Source organism: Homo sapiens, chromosome 1 (assembly GCF_000001405.40).
Source record: "Homo sapiens chromosome 1, GRCh38.p14 Primary Assembly".
Classification (NCBI taxonomy): Eukaryota; Metazoa; Chordata; class Mammalia; order Primates; family Hominidae; genus Homo; species Homo sapiens.
This window is the reverse complement of record NC_000001.11, coordinates 160,921,285-160,929,952: the sequence shown is the minus strand read 5'-3', so window position 1 is coordinate 160,929,952 and position 8,668 is coordinate 160,921,285. Positions and strand designations below refer to the sequence as shown.

Below are 8,668 nucleotides of genomic sequence, written 5' to 3'. Positions count from 1 at the left end.
ATAAGTATGGAGGAAAGCAGCAGGTCATGACAGCACAAAGGTAAGATGGGAGCAGATTGTGTAGGATATTGTGGGCCTTCTGGGCAAGACTAGAAGCCTTCAGAGAGGTCTGAGTAGGAGGGTAGCCTGATTTAACAGGATGACTTTGGCTGTGTTGAGGATATACTGAAGACTGCCAAGAGCAGAAGCAGAGAGACCAATGAGGAGACTTGCAGCCAGCCAGGGGATGCTAGTGGCTTAGAAGAGGATGAAAGCAGTAGGATTGTGAATGGTGGTCAGGTTAGACTATTTTGAAGGTGAGGCTGACTTACTCATTCACTTGCTGCTATTTTTAAGTGATAGCTTTTTTTTTTTTTGGACAGAGTCTCGCTCTGTCACCCAGGCTGGAGTGCAGTGGCGTGATCTCGACTCAACTCACTGCAAGCTCTGCCTCTCGGGTTCATGCCATTCTCCTGCCTCAGCCTCCCAAGGAGTAGCTGGGACTACAAGTGCCCGCCACTGCACCCGGCTAAGTTTTTGTATTTTTAGTAGATACAGGTTTCACCGTGTTAGCCAGGATGGTCTCGATCTCCTGACCTCGTGATCCACCTGCCTTGGTCTCCCAAAGTGTTGGGATTACAGGCGTGAGCCACCGCGCCTGGCCGATACCTTTCTTTTTCTTTTTTTTTTTTGAGAGAGAGTTTCACTCCTGTCATCCAGGCTGAAGTGCAGTGTCACAATCTTGGTTCACTGCAACCTCCACCTCCTGGGTACAAGCGCTTCTCCTGCCTCAGCCTCCTGAGTAGCTGGAATTACAGGCATGCACCACCACACCTGGCTAATTTTTTGTATTTAGTAGAGAAGGGGTTTCACCATGTTGGTCAGGCTGGTCTCGAGTTCCTGACCCCAGGTGATCCACCTGCCTTGGCCTCCCAAAGTGCTGGGATTACAGGCGTGAGCCACTGTGACTGGCCTTAAGTGATATCTGATATATAACCTTTCAAATCATTATTAAACTTTCTTTCTCTTTTCTTAAAATTTATTTTAATTAATTAATTTATTTATTTATTTTGAGATGGAGCCTCGCTCTGTCAACCAGGCTGGAGTGCAGTGGCGTGATCTTGGCTCACTGCAACCTCAGCCTCCCAGGTTCAAGCGATTCTCCTGCCTCAGCCTCCTGAGTAGCTGGGACTACAGGCACCCGCCACTGTGCCTAGCTAATTTTTGTATTTTTTTTTTTTTGAGACAGAGTCTCACTCTGTCGCCCAGGCTGGAATGCAGTGGCGCGATCTCGGCTCACTGCAAGCTCTGCCTCCTGGGTTCATGCCATTCTCCTGCCTCAGCCTCCTGAGTAGCGGGGACTACAGGCACCCGCCACCACACCTGGCTAATTTTCTGTATTTTTGGTAGAGACGGGGTTTCACCATGTTAGCCAGGTTGGTCTCGATCTCCTGACCTCGTGATCCGCCTGCCTCAGCCTCCCAAAGTGCTGGGATTATAGGCATGAGCCACCGCGCCCGGCTTGTATTTTTAGTAGAGACAGGGTTTCACCATATTGGCCGGCTAATCTCAAACTCCTGACCTTGTGAGCCGCCTGCCTCTGCCACCCAAACTGCTGGGATTACAGGTGTGAGCCACTGTGCCCAGCCTTATTTATTTATTTTTAAGACGGAGTCTCCCTCTGTTGCCCAGGCTGGAGTGCAATGGCATGATCTCAGCTCACTGCAAACCTCTGCCTCCTGGGTTCAAGCAATTCTCCTGCCTTGGCCTCCCAAGTAGCTGGGATTACAGGTGCCTGCCACCACACCCAGCTAATTTTTGTGTTTTTAGTAGAGATGGGGTTTCACCATGTTGGCCAGGTGGGTCTCAAACTTCTGACCTGAGGTTATCTGCCCACCTCAGTGTCACCGCACCTGGCCTAAATTTTTATTTTAAAAAATTTTTTTTGTAGAGATGGGGTCTCCCTGTGTTTCCCAGACTGGTCTCATACTCCTGGGCTCAAGCAATCCTCCTGCCTTGGCCTACCAGAGTGTTGGGACTACAGGTGCCCAGGCCCTTCTTTCTGTTTGGGTGATGTAATCTTAAATTTTCTCCATTGTTAAATCACATTTAGCCTACAGCTGCCTCCTTACATATTTTAAGTTTGGCCTAAAGGTTTCTCTGTACATCACGAACTATGGCCTAAATGGAAGTATAAACAAACTGTAGTCTACTCTTGTGCCAATCACCACCAAGTTTTGGTCAGTCAAATGTGGCTAAATGTTCAAATTAGGCAAATACCAAGCTATAACCAATGCAGCTGTTTCTGCATCTCACTTTCATTTTCCATACATCACTTTCCTTTTTCTGTCCATAAATTTTCCACCATATAGCCCTGTTGGAGTCTCTGAGTCTACCCTGGCTCAGGAGGCTGCCCAATTCATCAATCATTCACTGCTCAATTAAACTCTTTTAAATTTAATTTGGCTGAAGTTTTTCAGATGGTGTCAGAAGTGGGATCTGAAGTAGAGCTTCTCACAACCCCCAGGAGTGCTGAGTGACCAAGCAGGGATCATGGGTAAGTTCTCTCTCGGATTCCGAAGCGCCATAGATTTGTGTTTTGAGCTCTCTGAGTTTCTCTGAGCAAATTTCTGATCCAAACTTGGTTTGAAAGTCCTGACAGAAACCAGACTGGGTCCAGGACCAGATTGGATTCAGTAATTAACTGATCAACTGGCTTGGATCTAGTTAGAAGCCTCTTACATCTGACTGGGTCAGAAAGAAACAGGTAGTAAATGGCAATATTGCAGGGGGTGTAAAATTTGGCTTTTGGAAATTTGCATGGATTTTTGTGTTCCACCCCTTTGCTTTTCTTGTCTGGCTCTGTCACCAGGCTGGAGTGCAGTGGCGTGCACTCCAGTGGCTTGCAGTGAACCCACCTCCCAGACTCAAGGGATTCTCCTGCCTCAGCTTCTTGAGTAGCTGGGATTACAGGCGCGTGCCACCATGCGCAGCTAATTTTTGTATTTTTAGTAGAGATGGGGTTTCATCATGTTGGCCAGGCTGGTCTCAAACTCCTGATCTCAGGTAATCTGCCCGCCTCAGCCTCCCAAAGTGCTGGGGTTACAGGTGTGAGCCACCGTGCCCAGCATTTAAGACTTTTTTTTTTTGTTTGTTTGATATGGAGTTTCTCTCTTGTTGCCCAGGCTGGAGTGCAATGGCGTGATCTTGGCTTACTGCAACCTCTGCCTCCCAGGTTCAAGTGATTCTCCTGGCTTCAAGCAATTCTCCCGGGTTCAAGTGATTTTCCTGCCTCAGCCTTCCTGAGTAGCTGGGATTACAGGTGTGCGCCACCATGGCTGGCTGATTTTGAATTTTTAGTAGAGACGGGGTTTCTCCATGTTGGTCAGGCTGGTCTTGAACTCCTGACCTCAGGTGATCCGCCCACCTCGGTCTCCCAAAGTGCTGGGATTACAGGCATGAGCCACCATGCCTGACCGCAAAGTTTTAATTAATGAGTAAAAGGATTCGTGAGGCTGGTCTTAAGCTGTAGCAAATCTGGTGTACTTTGTGCTATGAATGTGTCCTTCTGCATTGTTCTGTCATAAAAAGGGGTACAATAAAATAGAATGTGGGCCTAGGACCCCCATAAGCTCACTGTTCAAGCCATTCTGGCAAACTGGTTAGTTACAAACTTTGCTGAAGATCCCTGAAACAAAAAAGCTGGATGAGGTTTCTCTATCTTCTTGTTTAATGTCATTGGGAGATTGATCTTGTAACCATAGAGCAATACTTTGTCTTGGTCTCCATCATCCAGGGAACAGGAATTTCGGAGTTCATGTAACAGCTCTGAAAATTATTTTGAACATTTAAAAGCCATTTGAAGTTCAAAATTGACCTCTCTAGGCTACTTCTGGGAAGAGCAGCAGAAACTGCCTGATGCTGTGGCTTAGTGGATAAGACTCTGTCTTTTCACAGTGGTGGCCAGGGTTCAATTCCCGACTTAGGGAATGAGTACTTTTTTTACCAGTGGTAGTTATCCACATGGGTCTGCAGCAACCTCAGTTCTTGCCTCCTGGGAAGAAAAAAATCAACTGAGGGGCATAAGGCAGAAGGAGAGACTGAGGCAAGTTTTAGCACACGAGGGAAAGTTTATAAAAAGCTTTAGAGCAGTAAGGAAAGTACACTTGGAAATACAAGCCAAGTGGGTGACTCAAGAGACCAAGTGCACAACTTGACCTCTTGACTCGGGGTTTTATACGTTGGCATCCTTCCAGGATCTTGTGTTACTTCTCCCAACTCCTGAGATCTTATTGGGAAGCTGCTGATCAGTTTCAGGTGTTTTGTATCTATTAGGAGACTGCTGTTCCCTGGCACCAGCTGTGAATGATTACTACTTTAAGGAAACAGTTAACAACCGCCTGACCATCACCTGATTGGCGCCCAACACTCCTAGTGCGTGTGTGTGTGTGTGTCTGTGTGTGGGGAGCCCTCTCCTGCCCTGCTCATACCTAATTAGCTACCCACTGTTGTAACACTTTCTGGTTTGATATCTGTGTGACTTTTGCCATTTATTGATTCTCTTTCCCTCCATGAACAACTTCTGACTTCCTGTCTTGAATTTTCCTTTCTCTGAGCACTTGGGAGGTTGCCTTTGGTAAAGTTCAAAGGTAAGAAATATTTGCTGCTTGTTTTGGCTAGAGTCTTGTAATAAGATATTTGGTTCAAAGTCAACTTAATTAAAAGCAGATATTCAAGCTATAGGTATATTGACAAGACCTTTATGTTTTTTTTTTTTTCTCTTTCTGGGTCTTGTTTTTCTAGGAAAAAAATATTTTTATCTTTTCAGTCAACTGAATTGATTTTCTTCATTTTGTCTTCTTGCCACTCTTGATGCACACACGAGAGGACCTAAGATAATTTTTTTTTTTTTTTTTTTTTGTGAGAAGCAGTTTCACTCTTGTTGCCCAGGCTAGAGTGCAATGGCATGATCTTGGCTCACTGCCACCTCCGCCTCTGAGGTTCAAGTGATTCTTATGCCTCAGCCTCCCAAGTAGCTGGGATTACATGCATGCGCTACCGTGCCTGGATAATTTTTGTATTTAGTAGAGATGGGGTTTCACTATGTTGGTAAGGCTGGTCTTGAACTCCTGACCTCAGGTGATCCACCTGCCTCAGTCTGTCAAAGTGCTGGGATTACAGGCATGTACCACTATGTCTGGCCAGACTTAAGATAATTACTTTTTTCTTTTTTTGTTGTTTTTTTTGAGATGGAGTCTCACTCTGTCGCCCAGGCTGGAGTGCAGTGGCACAATCTCAGTTCACTACAACCTTTGCCACCTGGGTTCAAGTGATTCTCGTGCCTCAGCCCCCTGAGTAGCTGGGACTATAGGCACGCACCACCACACCCAGCTAATTTTTGTATTTTTAGTAGAGAAAGGGGTTTCACCATGTTGGCCACATTGAACTTGAACTCCTGGCTTTGTGATCTGCCCACCTCAGCCTCCCAAAGTGCTGGGATTACAGATGTGAATACCTAAGATAATTTCTAACAGCCCAGACTCCTTGGGAAAATCAGAAGAAGTGCCACAGACCCCATTTTGGGAAAAACCTTTTTTCCTCATGAAACCCCAGGAACTGAGAGTAGATAAATCCCTTGTATTTGTCCATTTTCGTGCTGCTGATAAAGACATAACTGAGACTGGGCAATTTACAAAAGAAAGAGGTTTTTGGACTTACAGTTCCACATGGCTGGGGAGGCCTCACAATCACGGTGGAAGGCAAGGAGAAACAAGTCACATCTTGTGTGGATGGCAGCAGGCAAAGACAGAATGAGAGCCAAGCAAAACAGCTTTCCCCTTATCAAACCATCAGATCTCATGAGACTTATTCACTATCATGAGAACAGCATGGGAAAGACCTGTCCCCATGATTCAATTACCTCCCACCAGGTCCCTCCCACAACATGTGGGAATTCAAGATGATATTTGGGTGGGGACACGGCCAAAGCATACCATTCTTCTCAAAATCTAAGGCTAAATGTACTTTTGGATATCCTAGTATATCAAGATACACTAGCCTAGGAGCTTGGTGTCCTAGGCTCCACACCTAGCTGGGTGTCCTCCTACCTGCCCACTGAGAGATAAGATTCCCATGGAGGATGGACTGATCAAAACTGGGTTGATTGAGTTTGGGTTGCTTTGCAATGAAATGTACGGTAAAATCATTGCACTGTCTTGTTCCACAGCATTTCTCTTTTGGGGATCCAGAATCCAGTATAAAAATGGGACCCTGAATTTTTGGAGATCTGTTTGCTTTCCAGCTGTGCCTGCTTATTAGGCCCTAGAAACTGCATGTTTTCCTAGCCCTGTTCCTCAAAGGACTCCACCCTGAATCCAGTAATCCAATTAAGAATCTTAAAAACTGGCAAATGAAAAATCTTACAACTACTGGATCTTCTTCTGTCTATATATTTATGTGTTGTGTGTGATGTTTATATGAAAAAGTTCTGATTAATTGGCTTAATAATAATAAGCATTTAAATCAAATATTTTTTCAGAAAAATTGTTTTAGTTCATTTTCATGCTGCTGATAAAGACATATCTGAGACTGGATAACTTATAAAGAAAGGCCAGACACGGTGGCTCATGACTGTAATCCTAGCACTTTGGGAGGCTGAGGCAGGTGGATTACCTGAGGTCAGGAGTTTGAAACCAGCCTGGCCAACATGGTGAAGCTCCGTCTCTTCTGAAAATACAAAAATTAGCTGGGCATGGTGGTGCATGCCTGTAATCCCAGCTACTCGGGAGGCTGAGACAGGAGAATTACTTGAATCCAGGAGGTGGAGGTGAGCCATAATTGTGCCACTGCATTCCAGCCTGGGTGACAGAGATGAGACTTTGTCTCAAAAAAAAATTATAAAGAAAAAGATGTTTAATGGACTCACAGTTTCACATGGCTGGGGAGGCCTCACAATCGTGGCAGAAGGTGAAAGGCACATCTTACATGGTAGTGGGCAAGAGAGAATTAGAATGAAGTGATAGGGTTTCCTGTTATACAACCATCAGATCTTGTGAGATATATTCACTACCATGAGAACAGTGTGGGGGAAACTGCCCCCGTAATTCAATTATCTCCCACTGAGTCCCTCCCACAATACATGTGAATTATGGGAGCTACAATTCAAATGAGATTTGGGTAGGGACACAGCCAAGCCATATCATTCCACCTCTGGCCCCTCCCAAATCTCATGTCATCACATTTCAAAACCAATCATGCCTTCCCAACAGTTCCCCAAAGTCTTAAGTCATTTCAGCATTAACTCAAAAGTCCACAGCCCAAAGTCTCATCTGAGACAAGGCATGTCCCTTCCACCTATGAGCCAGTAAAATCAAAACCAAGTTAGTTACTTCCTAGCTACAATGGGGGTACAGGCATTGGATAAGTACACCCATTCCACATGGGAGAAATTGGCTAAAACTAAGGGGCTGAAGGCCCCATGCAATTCCAAAATCTCGCAGGGCAGTCAAATCTTAAAGTGCCAAATGATCTCCTTTGATTTTGTGTCTCAAATCCAGGTCACACTGATGCAAGAGGTGAGTTCCTATGGTCTTGGGCAGCTATGCCCTTGTGGATTTACAGGGTACAGCCCACTTCCTGGCTGTTTTCACAGGCTGGTGTTGAGTGCCTTTGGCTTTTCCAGGTGGATGGTGAAAGCTGTTGGTGGATCTACCATTCTGGGGTCTGGAGGATGGTGGCTATCTTCTCACAGCTCCACGAGGCAGTGCCACAGTGGGGACTCTGTGTGGGGGCTTCAACCCCACATTTCCCTTCCCTAGCAGAGATGCTCCATAAGGACCCCACCCTGGCAGCAAACTTTTGCCTGAACATCCAGGTGTTTTTTTACATCCTCTGAAATCTAGATGGAGGTTCCCAAACCTCAATTCTTGACTTCTGTGCACCTGCAGGCTCAACACCACATGGAAGTTGCCAAGGATTGAGGCTTGCACCCTCTGAAACCATGGCCTGAGCTGTACCTTGGCACCTTTAACCATGGCTAGAGTGGCTGGGATGCAGGGCACCAAGTCCCTAGACTGCACAGAGCATGGGGCCCCTGTGTCCTGCCCACAAACCATTGTTTCCTCCCAGGCCTTAGGTCCTGTGATGGGAGGGGCTGCTTCAAGGCCTCTGACATGCCCTGGAGACATTTTCCCCATTGTCTTGGTGATTAACATTTGGCTCCTGATTACTTAGGCCAATTTCTGCAGCTGACTTGAATTTCTCCTCAGAAAATGGGTTTTTCTTTCCTTTTTTTTTTTGAGATGGATTCTCACTCTTCTCACCCAGGCTGGAGTGCAGTGGCACAATCTTGGCTCACTGCAACCTCTGCCTCCTGGATTCAAGCAATTCTCCTGCCTCAGCCCCCCAAGTAGCTGGGACTACAGGTGCATGCCACCACAACTGGCTAATTTGTTTTGTATTTTAGTAGAGATGAGGTTTCACCGTGTTGCCCAGGCTGGTCTCAAACTCCTGAGCTCAGGCAATCAGCCCACCTCAGCCTCCCAAAGTATTAGGATTACAGGCATGAGCCATCATGCCTGGCCAGGTTTTTCTTTTCCATTACATCATTGGGCTGCAAATTTTCTGAACTTTTAGGCTCTGTTTCCCTTTTAAAATTGAATGCTTTTAACAGCACCCAAGTTACTTCTTG

The 8,668-nt window shown here is 45.9% G+C and overlaps 1 annotated feature.

Moving 5' to 3' along the window:
* Window positions 3,807-4,007: a silencer, noted in NCBI's record as "peak433 fragment used in MPRA reporter construct". NCBI's record gives its function as "represses an SCP1 promoter by STARR-seq MPRAs in K562 erythroleukemia cells {active_cell/tissue: K562}" and the evidence as "EXISTENCE:reporter gene assay evidence [ECO:0000049][PMID:32103011]".